At 33.8% G+C, this 24,238-nt stretch overlaps 1 non-coding gene across 1 annotated transcript; it reads right to left on the reverse strand.

Annotated features, from left to right (window-relative positions):
- Positions 1–6,758: 6,758 nt before the first annotated feature.
- LOC124906142 (small nucleolar RNA SNORD59) lies at positions 6,759–6,826 on the reverse strand. Its single transcript, XR_007088713.1, has one exon. It is a non-coding gene; the product is annotated as a small nucleolar RNA SNORD59 (small nucleolar RNA).
- Positions 6,827–24,238: the final 17,412 nt, after the last annotated feature.

The raw sequence follows: 24,238 nt of genomic DNA on the forward strand, positions 1-24,238 counted from the left end.
CAGCAATATATATCTTGTCTTACTAGCAGTTCTTTGTTCTGGGTCACTTTTTCCTGAGGAAACCTAAAAGTATGAATCAACTGTTTTTCATTAATGTTGAGGTGTTAAGTCTAAAATCTGGAAGACCTGGATTTATTCAAAGATACATTCTGCCCATCAAATTCCAGCTTTCTTTTCCCATCTTCCTAGTCATTTCCCATCTCATAAATTATCTAACTTCTTGATTAAACTTTTTATACACTTTTGAGACAAAATCTCTTGCTGTAGCTGCCCAAGGGAACAGAAGTCAGTCTCCATATTATAGCTTGAATAAAATAATGTTTTTTCCAGACCATATGGATAATCTCATATTAATTTCCATGTCTGACTCAACATTACCAATTTCCACAAAATCTTGCTGCCTCTCTCACTCATAACTAGACCAAATGCCAAATTAGGTCAACCTTGTTTCTCCAGGCTTGTGACAGATATTGCAGGTCTCCTATTCAGAATTTCCTTCCCAGATTTCTAAATCTAAAACCCAAATCCAGTCATCCCAGATTTCTCTTCATATGCCTCACTAGTAAATCTATATAAGCTGAAAAAGCAGTCACTGAAAGGCTTTATTTTACCTAATACTGATATTACCAAATATCTTCATATGTTTTCTTGTTTGATTGCTTATTTTTTTTCATGTTTTACTTTGCTGGCTATATTGTATATGTACCACTTAAAATACATTTCAGAAGTGGGTGATTAAACAATAAATCAAGAAATAAAGATAAAATTTGTTAAAGACAGCAAACATATTAACAGCAGAATCTGGACTAGAATACATTCTGTTCTCAATTTGATTATCTTTCCATTGAACCATATTATTTCTTAAACCTTCAATAAGGATCCCTTTTATATTTTAAAATATTATTTTTAAATATTAATTCCATAAAAGAAACACAATTATTATTGTGTAAAAACTATTATTATGAAATAAGTATTATATTATTCTTTTTTAAAGTTATGCGATAATAGTAATAATTATTATTATTTTAGAGACCAAGTCTCACTATGTTGCTCTGACTTGAGTACAGTGGTTATTCACAAGCACACAAGCACAATTCCACTAGTGATCAGCACAGGAGTTTTGATGTGCCCTATTCTCAACATGGGCTGGTTCAGCTCTTCTTCAGCAAACTGGTGGTCCATCACTCTCAGGAGATCAACATATTGATGCCAAACTTAGGATAGACACCCTATCAGCCTAGCGCTCTACAGCCCAGAACTCTTGGTCTCAAGCGATACTCCCACCTCAACCTCCGGAGTAGTTAGGACTACAGACATGTGCCATGGTGGTCAGCTGTAATAATAATTATTATTCTCTTAACATGTCTGGAAAGGCAGAATTCTAGTGTACCTGGGTGTGCATTCTGTGTAGAATCCCCTCCCCTTGAGGGTAGGCAGGACCTGTGAATATGATAGATGGTCTTTCCTGTGATTAGGTCACCTTATATGACTAAGGTGAGGGAATATTTTAGATGTAATTAACATCGCAAATCAGTTCATTTTGTGTTAATCAAAATGAGGATTACTCTATGTGGGCCTAACTTAATCTATTGAAAGTCTTTAGAACATGAACTAGACTCTTTTTGAAGAAAGAGATTCTCCTGCTGGCTTTGAAGTAAGTCGTGAGACTCTAGGATCAAAGAGCAGCTTCCAGTCAGCAAGGATGTAGAGACTTCAGTCATACAAGTACAAGGAACTGAATCCTGCCAACAACATGAATGAGCTTGGAAGATGACTCTGAGCTTCAGCCCTGCCTATAATCACCTTGATTGCAACCTTGTGATACCTTAAGCAGGGAACTCAGACCACCTGTGCCTGGACTAGGGACCCATTGTAACTGTGAAATAAGTAATGTATTTATTTATTTATTTATTTATTTATTTATTTATTTATTTATTTATTTATTTATTTGAGATGGAGTCTCGCTCTGTTGCCCAGGCTAGAGTGCAGTGGCGCGATCTCGGCTCACTGCAAGCTCCGCCTCCTGGGTTCACGCCATTCCGCTGCCTCAGCCTCCCAAGTAGCTGGGGCTACAGGCGCCCGCCACGACGCCCGGCTAGTTTTTTTGTATTTTTAGTAGAGACGGGATTTCACCATATTAGCTAGGATGGTCTTGATCTCCTGACCTGGTGATCTGCCTGCCTCCGCCTCCCAAAGTGCTGGGATTACAGGCGTGAGCCACCACACTCGGCCTAAGTAATGTATTTATTTTAAGTCACTTGATCTGCGATGATTTGTTATACAACAATACAAATCTAATACAGTATTCCTTTGAAAATATTCTACGCATATTTCACCAGGCCTTATTATAGATTCTTTGGAGAAGTAGAGGAAAATATCACCCTTAATTTTTTTATCTTTTAGAAGTTGCTGTAATTGTCCATCATTTCAAAATATCAACATTGCTCTCTGTCTCAAATTGACTTTATTATAAACTATTACTCTCACAGTTTGTTGTTAATTCATCTCAAATAGTGCTTTTAACCAATCTAGTTATTATTTGTTGTCTGTTACTCTCAAGAACTGTGAAGGTATGGAGTTTTACCTCACATACAAGCTAAGGAGCTAGCCTTCCAAGGTTTTATAAATTCTGGCAGAGAACAGAGCCTCTTGCTTAAGAAATAATGGATTTTATTATTCATGACATGGCAAGAAGTATGAGTTTTATGTTCACCTCAGTTACCTTTGACAGTCAAAGTTCCAAAGCAAATGCAGAACGTTCTATGTGGATGGTGGGCACACAGTAGATGTGTGCCCTAGCTGAAGAACTATCTGATATTAGATTAAGCTGTTAGAAAACTTGTTCAGCTTCTCCTCTGGAGGCAGACATTATTTTTATTATTTTTGAAGACCATAAATCTGCCTTCTGCTCCTAAGGGAGATGCTATTTCTGTCTTCCAAAGCTGTTTGCTCTACAAACATTCATAAAAAAATAGTCCTGAGCAAAAGCTGGAATAACTCTGTTCAAAAGAGGTACAGAAATGTGATAGAACATGGAGAATTATTTCTTATCAGCTGCTAAGTTCTGTATTTGAAATTTTAATTGATTTTTTAATTTTACAGTGAAATTAAAATCTTTAGTTCATTTAGGGGAGCAATAGTATCTTTTGCATATATTCTTCTGCTTCTTTGAAATGCAACCCAATAATAGTAAAGCAATAAATTCATAACCTAATGTGACTATTTATATTTTAGGGGAGAATCCTTCTCTTCTTTCAATATTCCCACCGTGGCTCAAAAAGAATAGGGTACTCTTTCCTTCTCTATTGCTTCCCTCTCTGCTATCCACTTACTCTATCTGAAGAATGTCTGAATTAGTGGACACAGAATCTACTCTGCAGGGTTGGTCAGACCCAGAAGCTACATATACGTAACAATCTCTAGATTCATGGCAGGGAGCAGGAAGTTTGTAGATTGAAACAAGTTTCTAAACTAGACATTACTAGAAAAACCAGATTGTGGTAGTTATTTGGCATTCACTAGGACATCAATAGAGCAGATGCTTTGGTGTCCTCTTCCTGCACATGCCAGTCCAGCAGCACGTAGGGCACGTTTATGCTTATCCTCAGAAAGCTTAGTGAACCACCTCAGCTTCTTCCTAGGGAGCTCAGTGTCATCTCAGTGAGTGGCTTGTTTTGACATCCAGTGAGTCTCACACGTACCCCAGTGTTTTCCCAATGAGTTGTGCAGGCACCTGAGAGTGTAGTGCCCTGCTTACCATCCCTAGCTCATAACATAATAGTAAACTCTTGATGTGCAGTGGCATGATCTTGGCTCACTGCAACCTCCACCTCCGGAGGTCAAGCTATTCTCCTACCTCAGCCTCCTAAGTAGCTGGGATTATAGGCACGCGCCACCATGCCCGGCTAATTTTTGTATTTTTAGTAGAGATGGTGTTTCACCATGCTGGCCAGGCTGGCCTCGAACTACTGACCTCGTGATCCGCCCGGCCTGGCCTCCCAAAGTGCTGGGATTACAAGCGTGAGCTACCACGCCTGGCCACAATAGTAAACTTTTAATATTCAATATACCATGAACACGGTAACCTTCACCGATATTATTTCCATGTTTGAGGTCGGGGGTGGTTCTTTACATTTTTTTTTCCTCTGGGTGCTCTATCTCAATCATACAAGTAGTACCTGTTCACTGTTTTCTACCAGTGAATGGGAGAGTTTAACAGGAAAAGGGGTTTGTAAGCACACATTAATAAGTTATTGGAAGAAGTTTCTTTTCCCATATGATTCTGTCTCCATAGAGATACTCAGTCCTGAAAAGTAAATAGAAGCTTACTCTCAGATGGCTCAACCTTAACAGTTTTCTTTCAGTAAATGAAAAAGTTTAACACAAAAAAAGGAGTTTATAAGCACACATTCAGAAGAAGTGACTGGAAGAAATTTCTTTTGTTATATGTGTCTATAGGCCTATAGAGAAATCCAGCCCTGAAAGGTAAATAGAAGCTTGCTTTCAGAACAACTTATCATTAACAATTGTCTTTCAATAAATTGAAGGGTTTAAGATTTTGCAAGTACAATGTCCATTTTACTCAACTTATTTTGATTCTTCAGAATTTTCTTTACCCATTAGTAGTTAATTTCTATTATTAGTTAATGTTTCTTTATATTAAACTTCCTTTGTACAAATTACTCTTCTTTCTTTCTCATCACTGATACAAAGTTCTATTCTTGATAAAGGGAGAGAATGGATTTCAGGCCTATTGCTAACCATTTTTAACTTGATAAATATATAATAACCCAAAACTTCAGGGACTAAACCAGAGATCTTTGCATTGTTGCTTATATATACCCTGAAATATTTTTTAAATAAGTATTTCCAGCATAGTTTCAATTTTCAAATGTTTTTAATGAAAACTTTAGTTACCAACTTGATATAACCATTACCTATTATAAAATTTTATGAACAAAATCTGCTTTAACTTACAGAAATATTATGCTTGGCTTTGCTGTCCTTGAAAATATATTTTTGTTCCAACTTCTTCATACACATTCTAATATATTTTAGGGTATTACTGTATTTAATTGGTCATCATATCACAGATATCTATAACAAAGTAATTATCTGGGTTTAATTATAAGTTTTATTACTACCTACAACCGTAAGTTTCTGGATGTTAACATTTTCTTCTAAATTGGGTATTCATTATATTTTACAAGTATATAATCGATTGAACAACTAAATATTACCAGTTTTAACAAGTTATTTTTAAACATACATGGCAAAATCTTACCATAAATATAAATCTTAATAAAATGAATCATAATCAAGCTTTTCCTCAGATATCAGAGTGATATGAACTGTTAAAAACTAATTTATGCAATAGCTTTTATATTACATCTTAAGGAGAGAAACTATTTGTTTATAGAAATAGCAAGAAATCTAGTTCTTCCAAGATTTTTGATATACATTAGTAGAATTCCTGAGAAGGCACTGGTTTCAGAAACAAACAGGCATTAGATGTAAAAAATAACAATAATAAAACAAACATTAAGTACTTATATGGCATTTCTCTACACTAAATGCCTTACACACATACATCATCTGATTTAATTTTCACAAGACTCTAATAGTTGTTATTCTTATGATGCTACAGAGGAAGAAATAAAAACTGGTGGAATAAATAAATTGATCTGAAAGAGAAAAAGATTTGGGATTCAACACAATTTACTTAGAATCAAAAGCTCATGTTCTTGACCACTTAACCATCTTGCCTCACATAGGGCATTGCATTACCTACACCTGTAAAGAGAAAAATTTATAGCTGAGTTTGAACTGGAGTAAGGTAAGACTAAACAAGCAATCTTAAGAAACAGTGAATTACATCTGAAAAACATAGAGGAGTTATAATTACAACATATGTTACTATATGGTCTTAAGAAAAAATGAGCCGTATCTTCAGCAATATCCATTTCATTTCATAAATAATTATCACTTTTGATGTCTTTCAATATTCTACATATTTTGCTTAATTACTTTTTTCTGTCATTCCCATTAGAATGTAAGCTTCATGAAAGCATGCATTTTTTTATTCTTATCACCCAGAGGAGTGCTCGATGAATATGTGTGCAGTGAGTAGAAGACAAACGTTTTGTCTAAATTAGCTTATGGTTTTCTTTAATTTCCAGAATCAATGTTTATTTATTGATTTTTAAATGATTTTCACAATGTCTTATAATTTATCCCTTCTTCTCAAGGTAATAACTCTTCAATGAGAAAATAATGACTAATAGTGGATTTATTTTCCATCCTTAATTACTTTCTCCTAAAGATATAAATAGCTGTATCACAGATACAGTTTTAATGGTATTACTTCAATTACATTCATAAAATAGTTTGGGAAGGTGAGCTTTTATTGATTTTCTATAACTCATGGTTAATTAGGGTTATAGAATTATATGGTTAATTATTTCAGCCATTCATAAGATCAGACACAGAGTAGCTCTAAAGTTTTCTACATTTTTTAAAAGCCCTGTTTTTTAAATATACACCTTTGAATTCTCATGATTTCATATTAGGTAGTTTAACTTAATTATCCATGAAGACAGCGATTTTAATAATTAAAAGCTTTGAATTTTTTTCTCTCAACCATAGGCAATTTAATGTCACCATATTAAAAAATTCCCCCTAAAATAAACAAAATTCAAATGTTAAAAGAAAACTTTCTGCTGTTTTTCTTTTTATTTATTTATTTATTTATTTTTGGTTCTTATCTGGAATGGCATCTAGCTTCAGCAAACTCAGAACAAAAGTCAGAAGCTACTAATCAATGAGGCTTTCTGCTGGTATTGATAAAGATATATAAAGAATATTTTTGGCGGGGCGTGGTGGCTCGCCCCTGTAATCCCAGCCGTTTGGGAGGCCGTGGCGGGAGGATTACCTGAGGTCAGGAGACCAGGCTAGCCAACATGGCGAAACCTAGTCTCTACTAAAAAATACAAAAATTAGCCAGGCGTGGTGGCGGGCACCTGTAATCCCAGCTGCATGTAAGGCTGAGGAGGAGAATTGCTTGAACTCAGGAGGTGAAGGTTACAGTGAGCTGAGATCACGCCAGTCTGGTTGACAGAGACTCCATCTCAAAAAATCAAAAACAAAAACAAAACAACAACAACAAAAAGAATATTTTTGTATAATTTGTGTATTCAGCATCTCTGTAGAAGAAAACCAAACAAAACCAGACAACAACAAGGAAATGAAACAAAATGAGACTAAACGAATTATAATTTAAGAGTCATTAAAATTTAGTTTCAAGACAGCTTCTATTTTTATTCCTGGTTTATATAATGAGTACTATGCCAAATTCACTTAAATCATGATATTAATTTGTGAAGTTGGCCAAGTTCAACCAGAAAATGTTACAATTCCTCAAAGCATATAAAAAATTGTAACAAATTGTCATATATTTATTATGTCCATTACTGTCTACATCTAAAATAAATTAACTTCTATGTTTTACAAAGTAATTATCTAAACAAAAAATATGCAGTAGTGATTATTTCTAATGTTGTCAAGTAACATAAGAAGCACTAGAATCCATAACATGAAAGTACTAATGAAGCATCTATTAATATTCATGTAGTCATTTGAGGAGAGAGCTTATAATAGAAGACTCACAGAACTTTTTCTCCTAGCTTAATACCAGTACAAAAAATAATAATAATAATCTTTTTTTTTAGGCACATAAAATACAATTTGGAGTATTTTGAACTTTTTCTTCTCACAAGTCAAGTGTTCACTTTTGTTGAAAAATAATCATTTGAGGGAAATTCATTTTATTCTCTTAGTTCAGTGAGTTGTAAATTCTGCTCTTTCTTGATTTCATGCAATAGGGAAGTAAAAAGAATGACTTGCACCACAAATTTTATTGAGCATAAGAAAAAGCTAAGATTTGAACCAATTCAGAGATCACATCTACCTATATTCCACTGGGTTAAGAAAGAAATGAAATGTGGATTTATGGTCTTTTAAATCACTAATATGAACCATTAGCAGAACTAACTTTAAATCTATAACCAGGATTGTGTTAAATGGGAGATATATTTTTGTCCAAGGTTAACACATAACAAAATCTAGTTCCCTCAAAATGCATGATTTTATATCAAAATTTATTTAAGTAGAGCCAGCCAAATGAAGGCTAGCAACAAGAAAAAGAAATAAAGCAAGGAACAAAAAAATCATCTAATCTAGCTATCTAATCCATTTTTTTTTTAAATAGAAGTGTCAGCTAAGGTCCAGGAAATTAAAGGACTTGTCAAATAGTTTATACCAATCTATATTCAATTCAACCTAGGACTCTGATTTTCTTTTTTTTTTTTCTTTTAGATGGAGTCTCGCTCTGTTGCCCAGGCTGGAGTCCAGTGGTATAATCTCGGCTCACTGAAAACTCCCCTACCACCCCAGGTTCAAGTGATTCTCCTGCCTCCGCCTACCGAGTAGCTGGGACTACAAGCACGTGCCACCACTCCTGGCTAATTTTTTGTATTTTTAGTAAAGATGGGGTTTCACCATGTTAGCCAGGATGGTCTTGATCTCCTGACCTCATTATCCACCTGCCTCAGCCTTCCAAAGTGCTGGGATTACAAGCGTGAGCCACCACGCCTGGCCTGAAATTTCAATAAGAGCTTCAATCATTTAAATAATTCTAGTACATGAATTAAAAAATATTAACCTAAACATCTGAGAAATAAGAATTTAAATTTGTGTCTATCTTTGCTCAGGGGTAGGCTGAAGCCACTTTTTCTGCCTTAAAGGAGCTGATTTTAAACTTTTCAGAATTTGCAAGACAATTTCTAAAAATAATCATTAAAACTTAAATTACACAAGTTTACAATTAAATAAGTTACATAAAAAGATAAATACTTAAAACTCATTACTTTTTAATCATGTTGCTACATTTTGCTATTTTTTATGGTCTTAACACTATTAGATCTTTTATATCTTGATAGTGAAAATGCTAAATGATATATAATGGCACACATCTTCCATCTCAGTATTCAATGCCATCATATTGGTAGCCAAAACCTGGCCACGATGGAAGTATATTTCCATAGAAATAAACAAACACTGTAAATCAGGGTTTGATTTATTGTTTTACTAATTGCCTAGACAAAGTAAGATTTGTTTTACTAATCACCTAGACAAAGTAAGATTTGAAAAATACGATATTTCAGTTCAAACTTAAAAATGTGTCATGTTTATTGCTGCTACATTATGAATTTTTCAAAATATGAGGATATATTCTTCCATATTTCAAGAATTATTATCAGATTCAGACAAGAAATTGCTGAAATCATTAAAAAAGAGGTAGAGTTCTGACAGGCATCCTCATCATCTCACTTTTATCTTATTATTCATGTAAAAGAAAATATCAACCAATATGACTGTTGGAAGTACACTCACTTGTCAATTATAACTACAGTTAGGCTATAATTAAAGGAGTTCAGTAAAAATCAAATAAATCATTCTGTGAGAATAAATAGGATACATATAAGTTATAATAAAGAATATTGTATATTTTATTGTTTGTAAATTGCATGCCACACACACTTTACACCAGCAAAATTTACACTGAACTTATGTAGATATGCTTATGCATACATTTCTTCCATTTATCTATATCTATGTCATTTACATCTATATTTAGCTTCCTGTATCTTTAAAATGGGAATCAGGTAACAAATCTTTATAATCCTAAATGACTTTTAAATCCCCCCCCCAATTACTTTAACTTTATAAAGCATGTTGCTATTGTTTTCATAATGTTATACAGTGACATTTTTCTCAAAAAAAGCAAAAATTGCCACAATGTATTTCATTTCCTTTAGTAAAGACCAAGAAAATAAAAAAGGTTTCTATCTATTTCTCTCTGTCCTCTAGATTACATCCACTTCATTAATGCAAGTAATATTTACATTATTTCCTCTGTCATCTTTCTTTCACTTCTCTTTCCATTACTTCAGAATTTTTCTTCATGATAACCAAAATTTTCTGTCAAAACCATAAATATGATCCTGTAAATACTTCCCCATCTCCTCTTTACAATAATGTTTCTTATTAAAAGAAAACTAAATAAAGCTAACAAAAACACTTCTAACAATTTTCCATGACAGATTAATCCTGAGATTCGCAAAATTTTCTATTAAGAGCCAGATAATAAATATTGCAGGCTTTATAGGCCATACAGTTTAATATCGCAACTACTCAAGCCTGCTGCTGTAGCATGAAAGCAGCCATAGACAATATATAAATCAATGAGTGTAATTTGTTAAAATACAATTTCATTTACAAAAACAAGCAGTGGAAAAGATTTGCTGTAGGGCCATGGATTGCTGACTCCAGTACTAGATCATTGTAACCTGGTTCAATAAGAGTTAATCATCTTCATCACCCAACAATTCTTTCCAAGTACACTAAGTACAAGACATAATTATGTCCATTATGTCCAAATCTGTCATTCACTTTTTCATTTCATTGTTCTATGCCGTATACTTTGCTTTAGTCATTCCTATTACTTAATACATTTGTTCATTGCTTTTTTTCTGCACCTGCAGCCATTCTCCTCAAGAATAAGAGATGGAAAAATGTGTAAAGTGTTTTATATGTTTCTGTCTTGAAATCTTGGTTGTTGAATAATTACTCCAGAAAAATAATTAAGAAAGGGGATTTGAAAGTGAGTTGAGGGAAAATAACAACATCTGTTTGAAATATATTAGTTCTTTTTAGAAATCTTTGAGTCAGGTTTAGGTGTTTAGTAAGAAGCTACCTGATCCTAAGATCAAGAGAACTATCTTAAATACACTTGAGTATTATCGTGATGTAAATGTTAAGAAGCCCATGGGAAGCTTCAATATATAAAGAACTCAGAAGTCATCCCTTTCATTCTTAAAACAAGACAAATATAGACAAACTCAAAGTTAATGACTATTTTTAAAACCATCAGAGAACTGAGGTCACAAGTCTAACCACTATCCCAAAATCTGAAGAGACAGGTTGCTATGGGTTGAGTTGAACAAAAATATATGTTGAAATTCTCATCCTCAGTACCTGATAATGTTACTTTATTTGGAAATAAACTGTTTATATAGTTAAGCTAAAATAAGGTCATTAGAATGAGTCCTAATCCAATGTGACTAGTGTCCTAATGTAAAAGGGGATTTGGATATAGGGACAGACATACACAAAAGAAAAATCATGTAAAGACCCCAGGAGAGTGCCATCTACAAGCTAAGGAACAGCTAGGCTACCAGAAACTAAGAGAGAGACACAAAACAGATTCTCCCTCACTGCCCCTCATAAGGAAGCAACCTAACCATGGGACTGGACATGATCACTCAAGAAAATTATATAGAATGATAAATGAGAAGCTGAAGGACAGGACTATATTTTTTAAAACCTAAACAATGAATAACTGGTTAAAAATCATGACTGATAAAATACGTAATACTTAAAGAAAACCCATTCTTTTTCCAAAAAAGCAAGTTAATTTTGAAATTTTCAGATGATTTTAAACAATCCGAAGTGTTTCACCAAGATTCTAAGTTTTAATGTCTTTTTTTTTTTTTTTTTTTTTGAGACAGAGTGTCACTCTGTCACCCATGCTGGGGTGTAGTGATGCGATCTCAACTCACTGCAACCTCTGCATCCTGGGTTCAAGCAATTCTGCCTCAGCCTCCCGAGTAGCTGGGATTATAGGTGTGTGCCACTATGCCTGGCAAAGTTTTGTATTTTTTGTAGAGATGGGGTTTCACCATGTTGGCCAGGCTGATCACTTACAGAGAAGAGGTGGTTATTAGTCAGTAAGAAGTAGGAACTTGAAATCCTTTTACATTGTACCAAATTGGTCTCAGGTGTCTCACTGAAACTAATCTTTGCACTATGTTCTAAACTCATACTACCAGATTGGTCAGAGAGGATAAACCCATTTTAAGTGTGACAGTTTATAGAATTTATTTGCAGTAAGTTTGAGCTTTTGGAATGTGAGGTATAGATGATCGCATATGTCACTGCTTAGAGAGGTACCATTTACTCATATCCTAGAATGCTGAAACTGTTTAAGGGGGATTACCAAATGGTATCTAACTGAAGGACATCATATACAGATTTAAATTCGTTAATCTTTGGAAAAAGAAGAATTTCAATGCAAGATATAAAAAACAGGAAAATGTTAATATTTCAAAAATTAAGTTAAATTTAATATAGCTGATAACAGGGATTTGAAGAAAAATAAATAAATAAAAAAGAAATGCTTCCAAAATGTGTAACAAAAGAGAGAAAAGTATCAAATTATCACACAGCAGGAGCTCACTAATTTTTTCCTGATTGATTTGAACATATAAAAAAGTTACTTCCTTGATATATAATACTGAGAGAAATGAAATAAAATAATAAATAACTTAAACCAGGTATTTTTCTATTAAATATAATGATTTATGAACTAATGGTGATTATGAGCCTAAAGGAATTAGGTTGAGAAACACTAACATTTGTGTACCAGAACAAATACAATGGGTCTTAAAAGAAGCATTCTGGCAAATATCAGATTAAAAATGTACTATTTTTATGCTCAGTGGAATAAGACTTTCAGTCACAGAAACATGCTGAAGATTTGCAAGGTGTGTGAATGGTTCCACAGGTGAATCATAGGTTTGTATTGTGATACATTTCAATCAATACTAGGTAAAAAAAAAATAAGAAAAGAAGCTTAAAAGTTACTAGACACTTGGCAAATACTTTCACAAATACTTCAAGAGTTTTAAGTAAAAGAAGCCAGCACTGCTCCATGACATTTCTGGCTTTTAGAAAGCTTTGTCGGCTGGGCATACTTTTCTAGGAGAAAACAAAAGGAGCAGGAATTATGTACTTTTGGCCACACTAATGGAATCCAAGCAAAAAGTAAAAGTTAGCTGTAAGCAATTGTGAATATATAAGTAATGATAAATAATGTTGAATTATTATACATCAGAGCTATAACTGGTAAGAGGAAGCTTCAACACAACATCACAGTAAGTGTCATGTTCATATGTTCAGAAGTTATAATTTTTAGAAGTTGATTTAACATCACATCTGTTTTATGTAATTTTCAAGCCTTAAAACAACTTCAAAAATAAGTGCAAATATCAAGGTTATGGTTGAATTGGGAGTATGTTACAGTTATAGTGAGTAATGCTAACACCAGCCTACCAAAAATTTAGACACACACTCAGGTTTTTAATGAAAAAAGTAATTTCTAAACTTGTTGTGTTTATACACTTCCTGGAACAATGTCAACTGAGGACCCCAACTTAGTTCTTTAAGCTTAGTTCATAAAGTGCTAATTATGTGTTTTTTTTAATTTCAATAAAGGTGGAAAATATTGGCAGTTGCCAGGTCTTGCAATTTTTTCTATTTTTATGTAACATCACGTATTGCAGAGTATTAGGTTAAAACTTACTTTTAATTATTAAATTGTTGTGCTCTTGTTGTAAATTTGAAGGCATGACATTTGGGGATAACATTTAAATAAAAACATTACTGTGGGCTTGGTGGGAATGCCTGCTGGGGCTTCTAGCACTGTGGATCTGCATCTGCCTGAACTTTTCAGGCCTGTGCAGCTCCATATTCCACCAGGGTCTGCCCAGTGAACAGATCAGGTGAGTCTGTGACTCCACTCATGCCTGCTGCTCCTAGCTGGGCAGTACACGTTGGCTGGGACTTCCAACACAGCAGACCCTCCTCTGCCTGAACTCAGCAGTTGGGCACAGCTCCATGTTCCTCTGGGAAGCACACAGATGGTGGATCAGGTGACTCCACCCACACCCACTTCTCCTAGATGGGCAGGACTCGCTGGCTTGGGTGATGCCTAAGTGTAGGGGTCCCACCTTCCGAACACTGAGAGGGGTGAGACACCCACGTTTGTGAGCCACAGAGGAACTGAAGTATGCTTCCCCCTTCAGGGCCAGTCTGGGAATGATACGGTCTGTCTGCTAACCACAGCCCCTTCCCTAGGGAGCCCTACAGCCCAGCACATCTAACACAGAAAATATGAGTGGGGTGCCAGGGATTGGAAGAGGCTCCTCCAATGCCCAGGAACAGACTTGATCAGGGGGTCATCTGTCTCCTCTTGCACCACAGAGCACTACTGCCAATGCACCAAAATACAAAAGAGCCATGTGTCTAAGTAAGAGCCTATTTGGTGGCCAACACTCTTAAGCACCACCTGCTGGATCCAGGATAGTCTGTCCATCTCAAAGTCCTTAACCTTAATCACATCTGCACAATCTCTTGCTGTGTAAGGTAACATATTCATAAGTTTCAAGGATTAGGATGCTGACATCTTCAGGGAGGAACATTATTCTGCCTGCCATAAATATGTTGAAAACACTGCTATTTTGAAAAAGTTACTGCATATGTTAAATGGCAGTATCTGGCAGAAAATAAAGTCTTGGGTAGGTCTACAGACACTAATAGTTTGTGTGTGTCGTGTGTGTGCGTGTGTGCACGCGCGCACATGCCTTGGAGGAGGACACAGAATTTGACAGAGATTTTTACCTAATATATTAATTAAATAAAAAATTAATTAAATTCCTATGATTTTTAATCTCACACTGTCACTGCTACCAATTTGAGGTTACAATTAGAGAACAAATATATCATCTAAATTAATTTAATTTTTAACTCCCAAATTATTTTCATTTTTACTGCAACCCATTCATTTAATACAATTTCTTGTCAACAGCATTAATGACCATAAATATGAAAATTTTGTTTGGTCCTATAAACGAAGCAAAAGAAATATCAATAACCTATGATATCATGCTTGAAAGGATTTTTCCCTTCCTAATTGAAAACAAACAGAAACTAAGCTAAGTTAAATGAATGTGTAATCTTTCATTGCAAAACAAAGGTTATTAATTGATGCAAGTATGTACATAGTTATAAACAGGAGAAACAATTGATTAACTTTGGAAAAGTCTAACCTTAAAAATGTAAAATGTCAATAAGAATTAAAGAACCACATTTTAAATAGTTCAGAATATTTTTTAATGATTTCTCAGCATTTGCTTATGACTGTGGGCTTAGTAAAGAAGGAATATATCTGCTTTTGAAGGGCTCTTTATTTGACATTTTCTAAAGGTTTTTTTAAGAACATAAAGTCTGTTCCTACTTAAATGAAACAAAGTAGTGAAGGAGTTTTAGCAAACCCTCGTCAAGGACAATATGTTCATGCTGTAATTCTTTTGAGAACCACCCTATTATTTGCTGTGACAAATTTCAGAGGCTATTAACTCTGGTTTTCACAAGTGTAACTTCATTTTCCTACAACTGAATACATTTATTTCTTAAATCCCAATTTTGCCACATGGTTAAAACTTAATCCCAACTTATGTTATTCACTTGGATGTGTTACTTTTTCTTTTTCCAGTGAAGACTGTCCTATCTTTTTCATTCTTTCTCCTCACAATTGCATACACAGTTTAGGAATTTGCAAGCATCAGGTAGAAGTGAATAATACTCAGTTGTGTGGTCTGTGCTGTCATCCAACGCACCCTCTGCTATCACAGCTTGCGCTCCACCAGAGGGTTTAAGTGAGATGCTCTGAACTTGCCTTGGGTGCATTTCCTTAAACATTCCAGGCAGCAACCTGTCGGTAAACTGCTACCCTTCCCGCAACATGGTGGTTTGTTTCCACCTTCCAGGGTCCCAATTGTAAAGGAGAACATACATTTCCTTTCTCCTCAGGTCCCTACATCATTCTGGAGATTTGTCAAATTCAAATAAGTATTTAGAGCTATAGGCATGGTCCAGAAATGTGGCCATGCCTGTCTGTCATCAATAATGACTAACCACTGACTAACCACTGACTGTCGTCAGTAATGGTTAAATTTAAAATTGAATAAGCTAATTAAACTAATACACTTCTAAAAACTGCAAAATTTAAAGTAGGTAGATTTGGTTCATATAAAAGTATAACACTTAAATGGGTTTGTTGAATCAAATTTAATATATCATTTAATATATTTATTTACATATAATATAACTTATTGCTAAAAGTATCTGTGGCAGGAACATTGTTCAGAAATCTGTGACACAGGGACATTACATTGTTATAATGCAGGACTCGAACTCCTGTGATAAGTCTGGTTGGAACTGTCCTGCCTACAAACAGAATCTGATGAATCTCTCTTTGATTTCACCTTCTGTCTTTCTGACTTCCATGTCTCAGTGTCTAATATAGTGCCTAAAATACATTAGGCACCATCAAATATTATATGAATAAATGATTTCATAAAGTATAAATCCCTCAACAAATAAATGAATAAGTGAAAGAAACTAATTTATACTGTATTGCACATGTAGTGAAAAAATTTTTTTAAATGTAGGAAAAAATAAAGGTGAAGAAGGAAAGTTTTCAAGTGAAGAGCTAAATATAATTATTTATTTGTTTTTTTGAATTATGAAGAGAAGGATGGAGATTAACAGTCTCCTTTTTGGAGTAGGTACAATTTAAGTTGAAGAAACTCAAATAAATAAGAAAATATATGGTTAATAACATATGGGCAAAACCAAGTTAACCAAGTTGAAGAAACTTAAATAAAATTTTGTTGAACTTTGAAGAGAAAGGTGAAGAATAATAGACTCCTTTTTTGGAGTAGGTACAATTTAAGTTGGATTGTCAAAGATATACGAAATAAGATTGATAATCTATAGTCAAAACCAAATGTTTCAACATGTTGCAAACAGCAGGGGTTTACAACTCAGGCAAGCTACAAAGTTGGTTTGAGATAAGCTTTCTGTTATAGATGCTTTTGTTTTGTTAGTCTCCTTTGCTGAGCAGTCTGCCCAGGTCTAAGAAGGAAGTGAGATTTTTGTCAAGTCAGTTTTGCATTGATCTGACTCTAGCTGGAGTACTGAGTTCAGTTCTGGGCATTTCATTTGGGCAAACTGAAGCCCATGCAGAAGAGAGTGAGAAAGAAGAAGAAAGGTTGGCAAACAATGAAAGATTAGAAAGTTTCAGGAGGTTGAAAAGAAGCCTAATGGGGATTTGATAGCTGTTTTCAAATATTTGAAAGGTCATCATGCAGAACGATTACTGGAGTTGTTCTGTGCAGTGCCACAGGACACATAGTTGGTTAGTTCAGGAAAGCAGATTCTAGCTGAACATAAGATGGGGCTTTTCTACAACTAAAGCTGATTTAAATGGAGGAAATTGTGCCACAAAATATTAAATGGGCTAGGCGAAGGCTCAAATCATCTATCAAATATTAAAGAGGAAATCTCTGCATTGAGTAAAAACTAGAGTAGATGAGCTCAGGTCACTTTGAGTTCTAAGATCCTACTTATTCATTCTATAAAACTTCCCATAAGAAGATTATGATGAGCATGTGTTGACATTCAGTTCTTTCATTAAAATTGGCTCCAAGTGTCCTCTACTTAATGGAAATAGAGAATGAATAAAAAAGCCAAAATGAAAGTCTCTTTACATAACTCTAGCCACCCTTGCTAAACACAATTTTTTTTATAATAAGAATCTTCAGATTCATAGTTCAAGGGAAACAAGTACACACAATAATCAGTATAAAGGAGGTAAAGATTTCTTAAAAGCCCATACTACATTTAATGAAAATATAGGCTTCTTTGGGGAGTGTATGTCCACTGTCAGGAGTGCATCCACTGTCACTGCTGCTAAAGTTCTCTGTAAAGAAATGACTCCTGATTGAGGGCATTTTCTGTCAATCCATCAGTTAAGCTCCATATTTTCAAATTCACCCTCATCTGACAACTACCATCCTCTGCCTTGAATTGACAAATAAATGAAATATAAATAATATTAACTTTTTAAAATTAGTGTGAATTTATTCTAAGCATGTGAAACAATTTGACAATGTACTAGTGATTCAAAATACTTGATATAACTTTTTCTGATTTATTTATGACCTGAATGTTTTTTTTACAAATAAATTAGGAGGTTTCTTAAAGGAGTTTCAGAGTGATGCATTTGGTCATTTAGTACAGTGTATATATATTTATTCCAGGCACTGTTATACATAATGAGGATATGATGAGAAAGAGCTAATTCCTTCCCTACCAAGTCTGAGAAGGTGCAGAAAACAAACAAACAATAAATAAGTAAACAATGCACATTTTGAGATAGGTTATTAAGAAAATAAATATTATAAACCTTACAGTGAAACAAAAGATGAAAGTGTAGGGTGGCAACTTAAAAAGACAAAATATCTGAGAAGATAAACACTTATTCTTTACTACTGCCCTGCTATCTGTTGACTTTTCCATTTTCTCTATATTCTAGAGTTGACCATTCACAGAACATTTGCTTATATTGATCACCTAAAAATTGTGTAATTATATCAAACTATCACTACCAGTTTGGGTAAATGTCCAGGCCTCCACAAATAAACCCTAAGTATTTGTGCATGCTTATAAATAGGATTCAACGGAGAGACAGAGTGATAGATTAGGATTTGAAGGGAGAGAACTAATCATCTTGGAAGATGAGAGAGGATGAGATCTGTTGCAAATGTTGAGTGCCTTTTCTAAGAAGAGAGATTCTTCTGTGTTTGTAGCAGAAAAGAAGTAGTAAAATAAATGAGTTGGCTATTTAGTGATGATGGGTTGATAAGAAATCACAGGTCTGATTTTTCTTTAGAATTTCACTAAGGAATATGAAGTGAGAACATCAAGTGAGGGGAGGAGTGGGAACAAGGTGTTGGTTGTGAGGTTGGAAGAGACAGAACACTTATCCTGGAGAGTAGAAAAGCAGGCTTGCTAGGGAAGCTCATTGGCCTACTTAGCAGGACTAAGGGGCTAATTTGGAGGTATAAAATGTGAAAGATACACCAATGTTTTTGATTATAGGATTTTCTCCAGCTGTGTCTACCTGCTCAATTCAAATATTTCAATCCAACCCCAAGCACATTTAACAAAAGTTTTCATTGAATTTTGTTTACTTAATTTTAGTTGAGCATGTGAAACTTTGAATCGAAGGAATATTTCTCACAAGCCTTTTCACCTAAAAGTTATATTTGAAAAAGATAATTGTTATTTTATAATCTTCCAAAACTTATCTTCCAACAAAATCTAGTTACTGATTGGGCTGACTGACAAATTTTAACCTTTTATAATTACATGATTTCAGATCTTCAGAAAAGTTGCAAGAATAGTTCAGAAGTCAAACTTAGAAGAGCAAAATAATAAAGCAATAATACAATGGCACTGCATATAATAATTATAAAAACTAGACAGAGTAAAAAAATTAAATCATTTCAATTGCATTCAATTGGTATGAATTGCAAACATGTGGCTTATTTGCTAAGGGTACTATCCTGCCTTCACAGATACAGGCTTTCGGAATTGTCAACGGAAAATACAGTGATGGGGAAAACACATACCTGGGGGACTTCAGGGGCCAGAGATCAGAGCTCGAGACTGAGAATACAATTGGAAACTTAAAACACATATTCTAGTAGTGAGAAACCTGCAGAATAGTTAAATCCAAATTATAAGCAAAAGCTTTCCAAGTCCTTAACTGTTAGCTAAACAATGCATGTGTGAAGACATAAGGAGGTTTAACAAAAAGAATTAGAAAAAAAGAAAAAGCAGTACGAGGCAAAGATAAATCTACTCTTGATATTTAGAGACGGGGGGCCAGATTCATCAATTTAATATTTTTCTGAACTGAGTGCATTATTTAACTATGCACAGCTGAAGCTGATAGGCTTGAAGTATCTTGGTATAGAGTTGAAAAATGGCATAGCTGCTGGAAATTAATGGGGAATCCCTAAAAGCAAGGAAACTAGAAAATGAATGACCCTAGCAACAAATAATGGCAAACTTAAGTGAAAAACAGCACCTATAATTTAATATAAATTATATAAGTATATATAAAAAATACATAGGATATAAAAACATATACCAAGTATATAAAAATATACTTACGATATATGTGCAATTTTCATATGTTAATTACTATAAATGATTGGTAATATTACAGAAACCTAAATATATGAGGATATACAATGGTCATTAACTAGAAGATAATATTGTTAAAATTTTCTAATTCTCCCCAAAGTAATATATACATTCAATAAAACCTAATCAAAATCCTACAAACTTCTATTTAGAAATTGAGATGTTGATTTTTTAAGTTCCATATGGAAAAGTGAAAGACCTAGAATAAACAAATTAACTTTAAGAAATAATACGTTTAGTGAATTTGCACTACCTGATTTTAAGGCTTACTATAAAGTTATAGCAATCAACACAGTCTGAAATTAAAATCAGAATAGATACATAGGTAAACACTGCAAAATGGAGAATCCAGAAATAGACAAGCAAATATATATGTAGAAAATTATTTTTTTATTTATTTTATTTTTTTTTTAAGATGGAGTCTTGCTCTGTTGCCCAGGCTGGAGTGCAGTGGCACATCTTGGCTCACTGCAACCTCTGCCTCCTGGATTCAAGCAATTCTCCTGCCTCAGCCTCCCGAGTAGCTGGGATTATAGGCATGCACCACCATGCCCGGCTAATTTTTGTGTTTTCAGTAGAGATGGATTTCACCATGTTATCCAGGCTGGTCTCCGACTCCTGACCGCATGATGCACCCATCTCGGCCTCCCAAAGTGCTAGGATTATAGGCATGAGCCACCGCACCTGGCCAAATTTATTTTTTATATAGGTGCAAAGGTAATTCAATAGAGAAAAGAGAACCCAGTGGTGCTATAACAATTAAACAACCATATGCAAAAATTGAATCCCTTACTTCACATCATAGACAGAAATTAACCAGAAATGGAACATAACCTACATTTCTGAGCCACTTCTACAAAGCTACTAGAAGAAAACATAGGATAAAATCCTTGTAACCTACAGTCAAGCATAAATTTCTTAGATAAGGTAAAAAGCACAAACATAAAAGAAAAAAATGAAATAAACTTTATCAAAACCTAAAGGCTGCTCTTCAAAAGACACTACTAAGAAAATAAAAAGACGAATTATAGACTTGGAAGCAATATTTGAATAACACTTGCATGATAAAGACTTTCATTCAGAAATTATAAACTACTCTTAAAATTCAACAATAAAAAACAAACATTCCAATTAATAAATTGCCAAAAGATTTGAACACTTTATCAAAGAAACTATATTGTTAGCAAATAAGACTATGAGAAGATTCTCAAAAAGCATTAATCTTTAGGAGAAAGCAAATTGAAATTGCAGTCAGTTCGCACTCCACGCCTACTAGAATGGTAACACACACACATGCACACACACAGACATACACACACACACACACACAATTCTTGATGTTACCAAGCTCTAGAGAGGATTCACAGCAAATAGAGTTCTCATATAATGGTAGTAAGAGTGCAAATTAGCACAGACACTGAAAAATGTTTTGGAAGTATCTAGTTAAATATAGACTTATGATTCTATGAAACCAAGTAAACCCACTTCTTGGTATTTACCCAAGGAATATTAAAATATATTTCCACACAAAGTGTGGCTTATGAAGATTTAGTCATATTTACCAACAGCTCTAAACAATTCAAAATGTTCAGCAACCAGGGAATGGATAAACTTACAGTGGTTTACCCATACACTGGAATGCAAGTCATAAATTTAAATAAATAAATAAATATATAGAAGTACTGAGGCTTGCAACACTATGAATAAATTTCAAAAGCTTTATGCTAAATGAAAGAAAACAGCTAAACAAATAGTGGATGATTCCATTTTATTATATATTAGAAAAGGCAAAGTATAGGAATAGAAATGAAATAAGTGCTTGAGGTGGGAAAAATGGCTTCCTGAAAGCCAGCAACAGACAGTATATCCTTGAATGATGGGCATTACAGTTTTATGTAACATAATCACATACAAAATAATCCTATATAGCTCATTACCTTTGACATATTCTATGGGTTGGAAGCAAATTACAGGTCCCATTAACTCCAGAGGGGAGAGAATTACTCAAAGGCTTGAATACCAGGAAGCAAGAATCATGTGGACCACATTAGAATCTGTTGGTTGGAGTGAGCAGAAAAGCTACAAACAAGTGGGCAAATCTAAATTAGCAGGGACTAATTTAGGCAGATTAAGTACAAGATAAAGCTTAAACATTAGATAATAATAACATGAATGATAGAAAGGAGATGGTAGATGGTGAAACATTTTAAAATTTATTTTTCAGCAGTCAAATAGAAATGCTGACTTATATGAGAATAAGAAAAAAAAACAGAAAATAGTATGCAAATGCAACTTTAAAATTATTAGAACAAAGAGAACAGAAGTATATAGTAATTAATGTCTGGCCCTTGAGAAGAATTAAATAAAATTAAAATCACATATAATTTTATTGTAAAAGATTAAAATTTCAGTGAAATATTAATCAAAGGCAGAATTTTGAGCACAAATTAGGGATAACTAATGGATACCAAAAAAAATAGAAAGAATGAATAAGAACTACTATATGATAGCACAATAGGGTGACTATAGTCAACAATAACTTAATTGTGTATTTTAAAATAACTAAAGAATGTAATTAAATTGTAATTGTAACTCAAATTATACATGCTTGAGTGGATAGATACCCCATATTCTATGATATGCTTATTTCACATTACATGCTTCTATCAAAATACCTCATGTATTTCATAAATATATACACCTACTATGTACATCCCAAAATTTAAAAAAATAATAAAAATAAATTTGAATTTAAAAAATAACAAATTAAAAAAAATACCTGTAGTGACTTTTAAATATTATAGAATTTTAGAGCTGGAAAAACTTTACTACTTATAGAGTCGATCTTTCTATTTTCCAAAATTAATATTAAGAGTCTGTAGTAGAAGTAAGATCTGAGGTCAATCTAACTTTCATAATACAATATTTCATTTATTCATCAAATCACTTAGACCAAATATATTAGTTTTTTTTAGGTTGCTGTAATGAAATATCACAAACCAGGTGACTTACAAACAACAGAAACATATTGCTTACAGTTCTGGAGCTGGGAAGTTTAAAATCAAGGAAGATTTACTTTCTGGCTAGAATTCATTTCTGATTCATAAATGGCACTTTCTAGTTGCATCCTCCCATGGTGGAAGGAACAAGGTGGCTCTCTGGGTCCTCTTTTATAAGGGTACTAATTCTACTGATGAAGGCAGAGCCCTCATGGGTTAATCACCTCCAAAAGGACCCTACCTCCTAATACCATCACCTTAGAGGTTAGGATTTCAATATATAAATTGTGGGGGAGCAAACAGATCATAATACAATATGTTTGCCAACAAAGAACCGTGTTTTATAAGAACAAGTACTTTCTACTAAAACACATTTCTGATTTTCTGCATGTTATGTTTATTCCCATTTTAGTTTACCATCTGAATTATAAAGTGCATTTTTAATTTAGCTAATGAATGTTCCTTCTATTTGGCTTGCTTGTGATTGCTACCACAAACTACTATATAAGCACTAAATGTGTAGAAAATATACACAATAGGCAAACAATATGTGGTCAATGCTTTCAATGTGGAGAACATTTGTAGTAGATTTCATTTCCAAAGATGATAAGCTAGGTTTAACAAAGAAAATATCTGATTTGTGAGGGATATATTGTGCAGAATACTGCAAGCAATGACTAGGAATACACCCATATCAATATTCAGCTGTAATTTAAATTTTAAGATTTATTAGAAAACCATCGTTTTGCCCAGTGTTATGTTTCCCAAAATAATAAACTGCTGACTGAAAAATTTGTCATTAGCTGGTTAAAAACAAACAAACAAACTCTAGGGACAGCTAGACCGACAGAACCACTTTTCATGCTTTTATTATTCAGCGCTGCACTGATCATATTTTCATTCTTTAAGTGTAGTGTTTGTGGGTTTCAGCCCACCCATTAGTTATTCCATTGGGAATTTATTCTCTGTTACCAAAAAAATTTAAAAAGCAGCTTGTAAAATTTTGAGCTCTCATAAGGACCTAAAGGCCATGAAACAACAAGGTTTTTTTTTAAGTGGATTTGTTAAGTATCTACCTAAAGTAAGGAATTAAACTTATAGTACGTGTACTTCAGAAAGGGTTATTTCTGATGCTGAGTAATGCATAGAGAGGGACAACAAAACTGTTTAATTTTTATGACTCACGTACACGATGCTTACATATTATGGCAGCACTTAGTGTC

This window comes from Homo sapiens, chromosome 2 (genome assembly GCF_000001405.40).
Source record: "Homo sapiens chromosome 2, GRCh38.p14 Primary Assembly".
Classification (NCBI taxonomy): Eukaryota; Metazoa; Chordata; class Mammalia; order Primates; family Hominidae; genus Homo; species Homo sapiens.